The sequence below is a fragment of the Homo sapiens genome, chromosome 3 (assembly GCF_000001405.40).
Source record: "Homo sapiens chromosome 3, GRCh38.p14 Primary Assembly".
In the NCBI taxonomy this organism is placed as follows: Eukaryota; Metazoa; Chordata; class Mammalia; order Primates; family Hominidae; genus Homo; species Homo sapiens.
The window spans coordinates 179,090,910-179,105,103 of NC_000003.12; the positions used below are offsets into that span (position 1 = coordinate 179,090,910).

At 38.2% G+C, this 14,194-nt stretch overlaps 1 long non-coding RNA gene across 1 annotated transcript in view, besides 1 other annotated feature; it reads right to left on the bottom strand.

Annotated features, from left to right (window-relative positions):
- Positions 364 to 443: an enhancer, noted in NCBI's record as "active region_20859". NCBI's record gives its function as "activates an Ori minimal core promoter by ATAC-STARR-seq in GM12878 lymphoblastoid cells {active_cell/tissue: GM12878}" and the evidence as "EXISTENCE:reporter gene assay evidence [ECO:0000049][PMID:35858748]".
- The window catches only part of PIK3CA-DT (PIK3CA divergent transcript), a 46,603-nt gene continuing 42,870 nt past the window's right edge, over positions 10,462 to 14,194 (bottom strand). Inside the window, exon 3 of the long non-coding RNA NR_125401.1 lies at positions 10,462 to 10,646. This is a non-coding gene — a long non-coding RNA (PIK3CA divergent transcript). The remainder of the gene's footprint in view (positions 10,647 to 14,194) is intronic.

The window sequence follows — 14,194 nt, forward strand, 5'->3', positions numbered from 1 at the left end:
TGGCAAAACAAAAAACAAAAAACAAAAAAAAAACAGTAAGTCTAAGTCCTCAAAAGCAATTGCAACACAAACAAAAATTGATTTGGAACCTAATTAAACTAAAGAGCTTCTGCACTGCAAGAGAACCTATCAAGGGAGTAAACAGACAACCTATGGAATGGGAGAAAATATTCACAAACTATGCATTTGACAAAAGTCTAATATCCAGAATCTATAATAACTTAAATAATTCAATAAGCAAAAAACAAATAACCCCATTAAAAAGTAGGCAAAGGACATGAACAAACACTTCTCAAAAGAAGACATACAAGTTGCCAACAAACATATGAAAAACTGCTTCATATCACTAATCATCACTAATCATAAGAGAAATGGAAACCAAAACCACAATGAGATACTATCTCATACCAGTCAGAATGGCATTTTTTAAAAAGTCAAAAAATAACAGATGTTGACAAGGCTGTGGAGAAAAGCAGACATTTATACACTGTTGGTGGAAATGTAAAATTAGTCCAGCCACTGTGAAGAACAGTTTGGAGATTTCTCAAAGAACTAAGAGTTGAACTACCATTCAACTCAGCAATCTTATTACTGGGTATATACCCAAAGGAAAATAAATTATTATACCAAAAGGACCCACGCAGCTGTATGTTTGTTGCAGAGCTATTCAAAACAGCAAAAACATGGAATCAACCCAGTTGCCCATCAATGGTAGACTGGATAAAGAAAATGTGGCACATATTACCATGAAATACTATGCAGCTATGGAAGAATGAAATAATATCCTTTGCAGCAACATGAATACAGCTGGAGGTCATTATCCTAACTGAATCAATGCAGGAACAAAAAATCAAATACCACATATTCTCACTTATAAATGAGAGCTAAATACTGGGTATGCATGGACATAAAGATGGGAACAAATAGACACTGAGGACTACTCGGGAGAGAGGGAGAAGGGCAACACTGAAAACTACCTGTTGATACTATGCTTACTACCTGGGTGATAGGTTCAATCACACCCCAAACCTCAGCATCACACATACACTTTTGTAACAAACCTGCACATGTACCCCGATTCTAAAATAAAAGTTGGAAAGGAGAAAATAAAAACCACATGTGGCATTTGATTTCATATCACTTTTAGTGTGTAATAATTCCTTAGTCATTGCTTTTCTTGACCTTGATATTTTTGAAGAGTACTGGTCAATTTTTTTGTAGAACATCACTCAATTTCAGTTTGTCTAGTGTTTCCTCATGATTAAATTCAGATTTTGTATTTTTGACAAGAATATCACAGAAGTGAGGCTGTGTTCTTTTTTTTTTTTTTTTTTTTTTTTTTTTTGAGACAGAGTCTCACTCTGTCTCCCAGGCTGGAGTGCAGTGGTGCAATGTTGGCTCACTGCAACCTCCGCCTCCCGGGTTCAAGCAATTCTCCCGCCTCAGCCTCCCAGGTAGCTGGGATTACAGGTGCATGCCACCACGCCCGGCTAATTTTTGTATTTCTAGTAGAGACAAGGTTTCACCATGTTGGTCAGGCTGGTCTCAAACTCCCGACCTCAGATGATCCACATACCTCGGCCTCCCAAAGTGCTGGGATTACAGGTGTGAGCCGCTGCACCCAGCTGAGACTATGTTCTTTACAGTGCATCATAACAGAAGGCATATGATGTGAATATGTCTAATTATTGGTGGTGTTACCTTTGATAATTTAAGGTGGTGTCTCCCAGGTTCTTCCACCGTAAAGTTACTCTTTTTATCCTTATAATTAATCAGTGTCTTGTGGGGAGATACTTTAATATTTTGTGAATATTCTGTTTACAAGATCATCATACTTTCACTAATTTTAGCATCCACGGATGATTCTTGCCTGAAATAATTGTTACGGTGGTGTTTGCCAAATGGTAATAATCCATTTTCCATTATTATTCTACATGTATTAGCTAGAATTCAACTGTAAGAAAGAGCTTTCCATTCTCCTCCATTTATTTATATATTCAATTATTTATTTATATTGGTATGGACTCGTGCATTTATTTTATTCTATGGGCTATAACCCATTATTGTCATCGTTTAATTTGTTGCACAAATTGTCCTAGATTTGGCCAATGGAAAATCCTTAAAGTTGTCTCTTGTGTCCTTTGATGTATTCCCATTACTATTTAAGCACTTTCTTATTTTCTGGCACCACAAGATGTTCTAGGCTTCTCCTCCTACTTTCCCTGTCATAGTCCTAGAACCAACTACATGTCCATAGAGCCCTAGGTCTTTTCACTGAAGAATGGTATTTAGAAACCAAGATGTAGGCACTAACTATGCCTGACAACTTTCTATGCCTTGCCATTTAGGAATTTCCCAAATCTCTGCCTGCACTGATTATTGTGATTTTTCTACATTACTAATTTACATCTTATTTTCTGTTTACCGCTGCAGCTCCTCTGTTTATATTAAAGCCCAATCAAGAAGTCCTAGCTGGTATTAAATTCAGTACATGGGCTTATTTTGTTTAGTCATTAACATTTTTTAAATCGGTAGATTTCACATGAGACAAATCCTAGCTTCTCTTGAAAATCAAGAGTTCATCTGAGCATCATGCTTAAGAGCATGGACTCTGGATTTGAAATTGGGTTTGAATTCTAGCTACGCCTATCACTAGCCATGTCACCTCAGACAAGTTACTTAACCTCTCTCATGCTTCAGTTTCTCATCGGCTAAGTGGGGCTAATAATAGTATGCAATCATAGGGTTGTTCTGGGATTAAATAAATTAATTTATATAAAGCACTTAAAGCAAGGTCTTTAAATAAATTAATTTATATAAAGTACCTAAAGCAGAATTATATAAAGTACTTAAAGCAGGGTCTTTAAATAAATTAATTTATATAAAGTACTTAAAGCAGAATTACGTGTTAGGTTTTGTCATTATCTAGTAACAGTAGGACTGCAGTCCACATTGCAATAATCAGCTACAACTAAATAACAGCTGCTGAGTGTGTCAGAATGGCCAAGTGGTCTAAGGCACCAGACTCAAGCTTTCCCTTCCTGCACTTGGGACTTCTGGTCTCCACAGAGAGGTGTGGGTAAATAACAGCTGCTGCCTTCACATACATCATGCATTCCTCACCACCCACAGTCCCCACTACTCCTTAGAGTATGACCTGTACTGAGGGAGAGTGTCATGTGGCATTTATCATCTTATGATCCACCTATTATCTACTTGGCCCTGGAAGTCATTTGAATATGTACCCTTGCTCTAATAGGAAAGGCCTATTATAAAGCAAATCATACAATTCAATGAACTTGGCTCAGGTTTTTAAAACTATGACATTTTGAAGGTTTCCTTCCATTTCACCAACTACCTCCAAGTGCTATTTGAGGTTAGCAGCAACTCAGAAAAGAGATATGCCTCTTTCTCTTTTGATTATTCTAAGTCAAGAGCTAAAAAAACTTACCTGAATGTATTTAATGCCCTACAGATCTTAACCCCCTTTTTCTTGATGAAACTAGACCCCATCCAAAACTGTCCCACTTCCAGGGTGTGAAACATCATGCCAAAGCAGAGCAGACTGACTTATTCTAGTACTGTTTCTTTCTTTCTTTCTTTCTTTTTTTTTTTTTTGAGATGGAGTCTCACTCTGTCACCCAGACTGGAGTGCAGTGGCACGATCTCGGCTCACTGCAACCTCTGCCTCCCGGGTTCAAGCAATTCCCCTGCCTCAGCCTCCCAAGTAGCTGGGACTACAGACGTGTGCCACCATGCCTGGCTAATTTTTTGTATTTTTAGTAGAGATGGGGTTTCACCGTGTTAGCCAGGATGGTCTTGATCTCCTGACCTTGTGATCCGCCTGCCTCAGCCTCCCAAAGTGCTGGGATTACTGGCATGAGCCACCACGCCCAGCCATCATCTAGTACCTGTTTCTAAAACAACACATATCTTCCCATTCCTCTCCATTTTCTTTTTTTTTTTTTTTTTTTTTTTAAGACGGAGTCTTGCTCTGTTGCCCAGGCTGAGCTGCAGTGGAGTGATCTCAGATCACTGCAACCTCTGTCTCCTGGGTTCAAGTGATTCTCCCACCTCAGCCTCCTGAGTAACTGGGATTACAAGTGTGTGCGGCAATGCCCAGCTAACTTTTGTATTTTTAGTAGAGACGGGGTTTCACCATGTTGGCCAGGCTGGATCTTGAGCTCCTGACCTCAAGTGATCTGCCTGCCTCAGCCTCCCAACGTGCTAGGATTACAGGTGTGAGCCACCACGCTAGGACACTCTCCATTTTCATAGCTCCCAAATAGCATATTCAATCTGTCTCTCTCTCTCTTTTTCTCTTCTCTTTCCCAGTACACAAAATACACACATATGCACACATGTGTGTGCACACTTTTATAGAGACAGATGGCATCCTGTTCTCTTAAGAAAAAAAGGAGTTTGAATTGTTGAAAGCTAGTGGATATGCAGAACTCAGATAAATATAACCTCTTCAGAAGCAGGGAGTGGGATGTTGGAATTAAACTAAACTAATTCCTATTTTTTCCTACTACCAAGTATTTCTAACTCCATTTCTTGACACCGCTGGTAATGTGACCCGATAGTAGATATTATTCAGCCTCTGCAATCATTTTGGAACAGTACTCTGATTTTCCCTTAGAGAACTGTTTCTACCCTGGTACACAGAGTATAAAATGACTGTCAGTCAGGGTGTCACCCTCTCCTAGACAGGGAGTGAGGACATGATCCAAGCTAAGTCCAATCAATGACCTCTCCTAGGAATCAGAATTTTGAAACAAGTGAAAAGGAATGGGAACAGTTTCAGACAATTCATTTTGGTAATGGCACCTTGAAGAGAATTCCATGACATCTGGACCATGGATCTCACTAATATTAGTAATTTAACCTCTCTAAGCTTCAAGGTACTTATCTGCAAAATAAGCATAATAATAAAAATTGACAGAAAAGATACTGAGATTAAATTAGATAAAACATGTAAGCAAAATATCCATCACTGTGTCTCAAAAGGGAGTTATAGCTCAATAAAGCAGAGGAATAATAATTAATTATTACTATTTAGAATGAGCACTATGATTCCAGGCTAGATTTCATATTGAATATAATAAAAATAGCTGACTATATTTTCCTTCAGAATTGCCAGAAAGGAGAGACTACAATTTCTCCTGGAACAAAGCCCAGGAATTCACAACTTTTCTTTCTTTCTTTTACTATTATTATTTTTTCTTCTTCTTCTTCTTTTTTTTTTTTTGAGACAGAGTCTCGATGTGTCGCCCAGGCTGGAGTGCAGTGGCGCAATCTCGGCTCACTGCAAACTCCGCCTCGTGGGTCTACGCCATTCTCCTGCCTCAGCCTCCCGAGTAGCTGGGACTACAGGGGCCCACCACCACACCTGGCTAATATTTTTGTATTTTTAGTAGAGATGGGGTTTCACCGTGTTAGCCAGGATGGTCTTGATCTCCTGACCCCGTGATCCACCCTCCTCGGCCTCCCAAAGTGCTGGGATTACAGGCGTGAGCCACCGTGCCTGGCCCACAACTTTTCTTTCTATGAGCAAGATCTCATATCCCTCTTGCTATGACGAGAGAGGGATATAGGCATTTCAGTTTCATTCAGCCTGGGCCGTCACTTCTTCCAAGCTTCTAAGAGCCTCCCTAGCAATTTGTCTGCACTATTCTCTGGGGTCCTTGTCAGGAAATCTCACATCCCAAGAGAGTGGCCCCAAGTCAATACACTCTTCTTTATCCAGTCTTTCATTTCAGACCTTGGCCGGAACCTTCCGTAGCTCCTTTCAGTGCAGGTAGACTAATTCTTGCAGCTTCTTTGGGACATGGTCTTTTTCTTTCCATGTCAAGTCTAGCTCATTCCTGTATGGGCTATACTGTTACTTAGTCTTAGTTATCAGCCTGGCAGCCGGGAAAGGTAATGCAGATCCTGAGGGAGCCTGTGTTGCTTCGCACAGCAGAGGCCTCCGTAGTGTCTTCCCATACTGGGAATAGGAGATGAGAGTGCTAACTCTTAATAGAGAGAGATGGGTGCCTCTGAAGGTTCTGAGGGTACAGATCTCCAACTCAATGGGTAGCTCCAGAATAGAAATTGCCTATTAGAACTCTTACAATCTACTTTATATATTTGAATATAGAAACAATATTTTAAATTAGTTACTGCCAGGAAAAAATGAATCAAAAAGCATGTCATGATAAATGAATAAGATGCTATTGCAATGAATGTATCAATTTTGCAAAATCAGATTGGAGCAAGCTATTACCAAGTATCAGTTTCAGTTTCTTGTCAATTTTCTCTTCTCTCTTGGAGTAACAATATTTTGGGAATCCCAGAGTCTCAAAAATATGTGAACAGAGATGACAAGAAGTTTGTATGTATGTATGCTTGTTTGCTTTTACTACATTGTAAGCTATGAGGAGAAATAATCAAGGAAAGACACTTAGAATGCAGCTACAAAGACAGAAAGCAAGCAGAAATTTCAAGTTACTGTAGGACATTCTGTGAGAACAAGTCACTAATGACATAAGGAAGACTGATAGGTTCCCTACTCTGGGGTCAATCTTGGGATTACCTATCCAAAAACATTTTCAGTGAATATAGTGACATTTTACCATTGAAGCTGTAATTTTTATCACATTTAAATAGTTTGCAGTCTTCAAGATCAACTTTCTGCACACAATGCTCAAACTTCATTTTTGATTGAAGCAATACTATTGTTTTCAGTGAAAACTTTCGCAATTTATCATGTACCATCCTTTTAAACACACTAAGTAAAGGGAAATGGTTTTGAGACGAGATGTTCTCAAAATGAAGCAGGCTGATCCGAAGGTAGTGAGTTATGTCAGTTGTTTGTTCCTAGTCAGTTATAAATCGAACTCCTGTTTCTACTTCCCCACTTCTAGCCATTGCATTTGACTAGTCTAAATATATAACAGAAGCAGTGTTCACTAATAAATTCAAGATATAAGCACTCCCAAAGTTTTACATGTGATTAATTTGGCCCCATTTATTATTTTTTAAGTTGCTGCTCTGTTCACTAACAACTCATGTATTTTATTGAAATATTTTTGTTTGCACTTTGCAAATAGACATAATTTCACAAATATTCTCATTGCAAATAGTAGTAAACAAAAATCAGTGAAAAACTAGATCAATATTTGTCTTCAACGTAACGTGTGAATACACTTTGAGCATATGAAAATGTATCCTTCAATAATAGAGTTCAAAAAGGTCCACTGTTTCAGTTCAAATACCAATTTTTGAGGCAAAACATGTTTTGGCCAAATCTGCAGTTCCAAATCTTCATCAAATCTCCTCCTGGTCAGTAGCTTCGTTACCCACAAGGATTCTGAAACAGATTTTATAGGTGGCTTTAATTATATCATTTTTTTGTTTAAATTATTGTATGGTTTTTTTTTTTCAGTTTGAAAATTTTTAGTGACTTTCTTCATTTGTGTGGTTGGTTTTTAAACACCACTGAAAGAGCGGTTGTTTTGTATAGTTACTCATCCCCATAAATCATACTAAGGTTTAAGCTATTTTGTACATCCCCAATAAGACTCATGCTTACAGAAATATCCACGGAAGAGGCATCTCCTGCCCACCAAATATCTATATGCTTCTCCACATTTCCTTAAACACTTGCAGCCAGATAATCTCAATGTAAGTATTCTCGGCTGGGAAAGAAAATACGTAAGCAATTTCTAAGTCAAAGCATTTAACAGCCAGTACATGATCTTCCAAATATGGAAGCTGTGTTTTGCGATGAGTCACAATATGAAAGCAGACTAGCTACCCGAGTATCTGTCTGGAAGGGAGCTGCCCTGGAGAGTCTATCGGATCTATAATCAACTAGGCAAGTGAGAAATAAGCCATTGCATTAAGCCACTAAGATTTTGATGTTAATATGCTACCACCCATAACCTAGAATCTGAGTACATTCTCCATTTTTTCATTTACTGCTGCCTCCTACTGCTCACTCTACTGTAGTTGGAGTAATGCTAACTTTTTTTCTGGGAAGTTTAATGAGGAAGTCTTCAGGGACCCTTCCACTTGTTCACAACCTTTGATCATTTTGGTTATTTTATTTTAGTATGAACATTTTATATATTCATGGGTTTTAAGCTTATGCATCAAAATGTTTATTTTCCACCATCAATGGGTGGTCCTAATTGAAGATGTAATTTAAAATATGTAGCATTTTAAGATGACAAAAAGAATCATTACAATAGCTCTTAAAATGGAATTTCAGGTATATTTGTATTACAAGAAAACTCACTGGCATAGGAAGTAAAACTAAGCAGAGCTTCATATATGTAAACAAAACATTTGTTTATGGGAAATTATGTTAGTAAGTTACACTGATATGTGAGAATGAAATGTTTTCTATAATCAAATTATAAGTAAATACACAAACAAATACATATAGGAATTTGAAAAGATGCAACCTCATGCTTCAAAATAATGAATATGTAAGCCTCTATAGGATAACTGAGAAATCACATGGTCTGGGTGCAAGCAATACTCTGGAGGGAGTGGATAATGAGGAGGAAATTGCATTTACATAATCTAGACTCATAGTAATAATGTACTCAATTGTGTATGGGTGGGGAGGGGAGCAAATAAACCAATGATATAAAAGTCAAAATTTCTTAGCGATTCTTGGTTTGTAATAATATAAAAACACATAAAAATTGAACAAATATAAAATATAAAATTTGTATAAATGCAAACGATAACTGCTGCTTTTGCTTATGGATTTATATGACAAATGTTTTAAGAAAAAAAAAAAAATCCAGCTGGCTGCAGTAACTCACGCCTGAAATCCCAGCACTTTGGGATGCCAAAGAACGTGGATCAGTTCAGCCCAGCAGTTCAAGACCAACTTGGGCAACATGGTGAAACCCCGTCTTTACAAAAAAATACAAAAATTGGCCAGCAGTGGTGGCACGCACCTGTGGTCCCAGCTACTCAGGAGGCTGAGGTGGGAGGATCACCTCAGCCAGGGAGTCCAGGGAGGTTAAGGCTGCCGTGAGCAGAGATCGCACCACTGCATTCCAGCCTGAGCGATGGAGTGAGACTGTCTCCTACACACACACGCACACATACACACACACACAATCCATGACTTTCCTCCAAAATCTTAACATAGATTTCAGAAAGATGAGACTTGTGAATTCTTTGGGTTTAATTACCCCCAGCACACTAATATGTATAATCCCGGGGTAAAATTACTGCAATTTGAGAAGCTTCACTTCCGTCTCCCTGAAGATTATGCTTGGATCATACCAGGACACCTGAACACTTTGAATTTTGATTGATTGCGTAGATTTTTCATCAGTGCTTTCACTGAATGATATTTCATTTTTATGCCATCAATTTACATTAAGGGAGTAACAGAAAAAACACATGTAACTCACTACTAGAGCTATTTTTGGTATATTGTTGAGAGCATTGTACACAATTGCATATAATGTCCCCTTTATGCAGTTCAAAGAAATAAATGTCTTTCCTACCTCAGTCTAGAAAAAAAATCAACTTTCCTTTTCCTAAGAGACTGGTTTTTTTTTTTTAAGCTAATAACACTGTATCTTATAATTTGATCCCTGTGGTGGATATCCTGCCAAGATGGCCCCCAGTGATCCCAGCCTCCTGATATTCACATTCTTAATTGATTTCCACAATGTACCAGAGATGGTCTCTGTGACCAAAAGAATACTATAGAAATGTTAGTATGCCATTTCCCAGACTAGATCATAAAAGGCATTATAGCTTCCTCTCTACCTTTCTTAAATCACTCATTTTGGGTAAATCCAGCTGCCATGTTATACAGACACCCAGGCAGCCCTGTTCAGAGGCATGGTAAGGAACTGGTGTCTCCTACCAATAGCCAGCCCAGCAAGGAGCCAAGGTCAGTAGCCTTGGCCAACAGCCATGTGATGAGTTATCTTGGAAGGGGATCCTTCAGGCCCAGTCAAGCCTACACATAACTGCAGCCCTTGTTGACATTTTAACTGCAGCTTCATGAAAAATTCTGGGCCAGAACCACCCAGCTAAGCCACTCCTAGGTTCCTGATCCTAAGAGATAATGTTTGTTGTTTTAAGCAGCTGAGTTTTGAGGTAACTTGTTATACTGTAATAGATAATTTATCAATCATCTTCACTCTTTTTTCTGGCTGTTATGGATACTAGATTCAAACATGAAACTCACCTCTAAAATCTACACAGGACTCCCATCATTTATTTTTTTTACCCTAGCATTATTTTTTTTGCTGTATTTCCTTATTTTTTTAATTTTAATTCCATTTTCTGTTTATTTAACTTTACTACAATATGCCATAAGCCACCTCGAATAGTTTTGGGGAATGAGGCAAAGTAATTTTTATGACAAAATATAACCAGAGGAAGATAATAGAAGCAAATAAATAAAACATTGCATGTTACACCTAAGTTTGAAGTTTTCTTCAATGTGGAGGAAACTACAGTTTTATTTGAAACTTTTAAAACAGATTTAAACATAAGTTCTAGATAGAAAAAAATAAAGATATTCAACAGTTATAAGTGATTAGAAATGAAGATCATATTTTTATCTTCTAAGTAGTGATTCCCAAGCACCAGTCCATAAATATATTTTCACCAGTCTGTCAGAAAACAAGAAAAGGAACAATGCATTCAATTTTCTATTACATTAAATTTATTCAACTTAAATTTGACTGTTCATATTGAGATCTATCGTCTTCCTAATTTTTATGTGCCTTCTTTTATAATATGACCATAACAGTCAGTGGTGGTTGTTTGATGTTCTTAATCATACAATTTCCCCATTCCCTCTCCCCAGCATTTATGTGTTTTTGTTCAGTTTTGTCTTATTAAGTGTTCACTGTGCATGAAACTACTAAGTGCAGGAACCCCTGCTCCTAGAGAAGTACTGAAGAATGGTGGGGCAGGGGCAGGATAATGTTTGAGGGGGGGAAAACACACCTTCAATTTACCCTTTGTTTTCATAACACTAACTATAGGAGCAAAAGCTCAACACCTTGTATCTCAGGTTTCCCCCTCCCTGATCTGGTTGAGTGTCATTATTCTAGAGCAGTCAGGTACCTACCTTTGGACCTTAGGCCCTGCGGAGATATATAAGAGAACATCCAATCCTTTGGCACACAAAAATTATCTGTAGTCTGAAAGAGTATCTCCAGATAATATATACACTATGCTTGAAATATGTAGAGATGCTGGGTACAGTTAATCAAATTCCATTAAAAGTGGTCTAACTTCAGGGAGATTTTTATATATTGTGTCTTCTCCCAATTACCAAATACAAAAATACAATTACTATACCATAGGCATTTTCTTAAAATTTTTCATGCTTTTAAAAAGGGGCCTTTGAGATAGTGGGGAACAATTGGTGCTATATAAATGCTTTTAAATAGATTATAGGAGACTTAAAGAAGAAAATTGACAAGAAAGCATAACTAAATGGTTGAATATTTTTCCCCATAATACAAGCTGCTGGGAAGGTTTTCAGCAGTGACGAATTCACAATCTGACACATAACTCTTTAATTTGCTTTATAAGGTTAAGTGGTTCCTTGCTGCCATCTCCAAATGAAATTAAGTTGCCTCACTTTAAAAGGTGAAATTCTTTCTTTTTCAGATTCTCCAAATAATTTGTTCATTATTTCTAATACTCTGTTTATGAGACAATAAAACCAATTTCCATAAACCACTCTAGAGAATTAGTAATTACTTCATATAGCAGAGCTCCAGTTTCCACAAGTAATGTAAGAAGATGGTCACAGACTACAACTTCTCAGTGAGGAGTCAGTATATTCTTTATCTCCTGTGGTGTTTTGAATATTTAAACATGCCTGCAGTACTGTACTTTCCATTTCATTTTATCTCACCTGTGCTTTGCATTTCCCTGTGATAAACTATCTATTGTGAACTTACATCTTTCCCAATACCGGATATTGTATTCTTTGAGTAACAGAAACACATGTTCAGAATCAATCTAGCCAGTTTTTAATTTGGGGAGGATGAGAGATACACCTGAAACTATTCTGCTACCTTTTAGCAGAGCAGATGGACCTGAAAAAAAGAAGGCAAGGAGTTAACCTTTCTTGTTTCTCCAGCAACTTTTCCACAGCTATTTTCCTCCCTTTTCAGCGACTGTTTTCTAATCTAGGTTTGCTTTCCCCTCAAATCTGGAGGATAAATAAAGCTCTGCAAAGTAAATGGCATGTGAAAAAAAAAGCTACATCTTAGAAATGGAAAGCAAAACAAAAACAAAAACACACCTAAACCCAATGCTCGAATGTATAAAACAGGAAAATAAGACCCTGAGTGGCCTATGTGTCCGGACTAAGGTCACACCACTACTTACAACAAACTGCCAGGATTAGAATTCAGGCTCCCCAGGGCCAGCCTAGAGTTTCTCATATGTAGGAATTCATGATGTTAATGGTAGAAGTGGATGGAGAATTGGGGAGGGGGGGAATGAAATATTCTTTTTTCTTTTCTAAGAAACAGGGTCTCACTTTGTTGCCCAGACTAGAATGCAGGGGTATAATAAGAGCTCACTGCCTCAAACTCCTGGGCTCAACCAATCCTCCTGTCTCAGCCTCCCTAGTAGCTAGTACTATAGGCATGCACAACCAGACGTGGTTAATTTTAAAAAAAAATTTTTTTTTCTTTTTTTTAGAGACAGGGTCTCACTATGTTGCCCAGGCTGGTCTCAGACTCCTGGCCTCAAGCGATCTTCTCACCTTGGCCTCCCAACGCAGTGAGATTACAGACCTGAGCCACCATGCCCAACAAAGACGAAATATTCTAATAAGGCATTCCATTTCTAATTTGATGACTCTCCGAGGAAATTCTAAGAGGCCCTATGTCTAGAACGGAAGGAAGTCCTTCATCTGGAGTCTCTTCCATCACAGCAAATGCTGGTTTCAAAAACAATTTAATTTTACATTTGCTTTGAAAAGTCTAGTAATGTTGTCATGGCACACCTACCCAGCCAACATTTTCTTTAGGGCCACAAGTTTTCTAAAAGTGAAATAAATATAAAAAATAAAAACATTTCCCATTTCACAGAATGCAAAAAGAAAGGGGAGTGGAGAGGGAGAGAGAGAAAATGACACTATAATAAGTGTATGACAATTGTCTTGGTCCATCCAGGCTGCTATAACAAAATACCTTAGACTGAGTAACTTATAAACAAAAACAATTTATTGTTCACAGTTCTGGAGGCTGGGAAGTCTAAGATCAAGATGCCAGCAGATTTGGTGTCTGGTGATGGCTTGTTCCTCATAAATGGTGCCTTTTATGTGTCCTCATGTGGTAGCAGGAACAAACAAGCTCCCTGGGTCCTCTTTTATAATGGCACCAATCACATTCATGACGGTGAGGATTTTGCCCTCCTGACCTAATGACCTCCTAAAGGCCCCAACCTTAACACTCTTGCATTGGGGATTAAGTTTCAACATATGAATCTGAGGGGAACACAAATATTCAGACCATAGCAACAGTGAAAGCTAGTGAACAAATTAAATGATATTTTCTGACCTTAATTTACTTACAATTGTTTTAATTATCAAGAAATAATATTACCTACCTCATTTTTACATTTTAAAAATAATTGCCGGCCGGGTGCGGTGGTTCACGCCTATAATCCCAGCACTTGGGAGGCTGAGGCGGGCGGATCACGAGGTCAGGAGATCGAGACCATCCTGGCTAACACGGTGAAACCCCGTCTCTACTAAAAATACAAAAAATTAGCCGGGCGTGGTGGCGGGCGCCTGTAGTCCCAGCTACTCGGGAGGCTGAGGCAGGAGAATGGCGTGAACCCGGGAGGCGGAGCTTGCAGTGAGCCGAGATCGCGCCACTGCACTCCAGCCTGGGCGACAGAGCGAGACTCCGTCTCAAAAAAAAAAAAAAAAAAAAATCATTGTCAGCAAAAGATTAATGAACTTTGAGCAGATGAAGTACAGGAATTCAGGACACAGTGATACTGAACAGAAGGTGTTTCAGATTGCACCTCATCCCATTTCATTACCTCAGAATGTATTTAGTTTTTAAAATTATATTAATTACCATTACTAGACCTACAGTCTCTCGAATTGTATACAGGTTCTTTCACTTACTTAGCTTTAATGCATAGAATCTAATCTCCAAAATTATCATTATACACT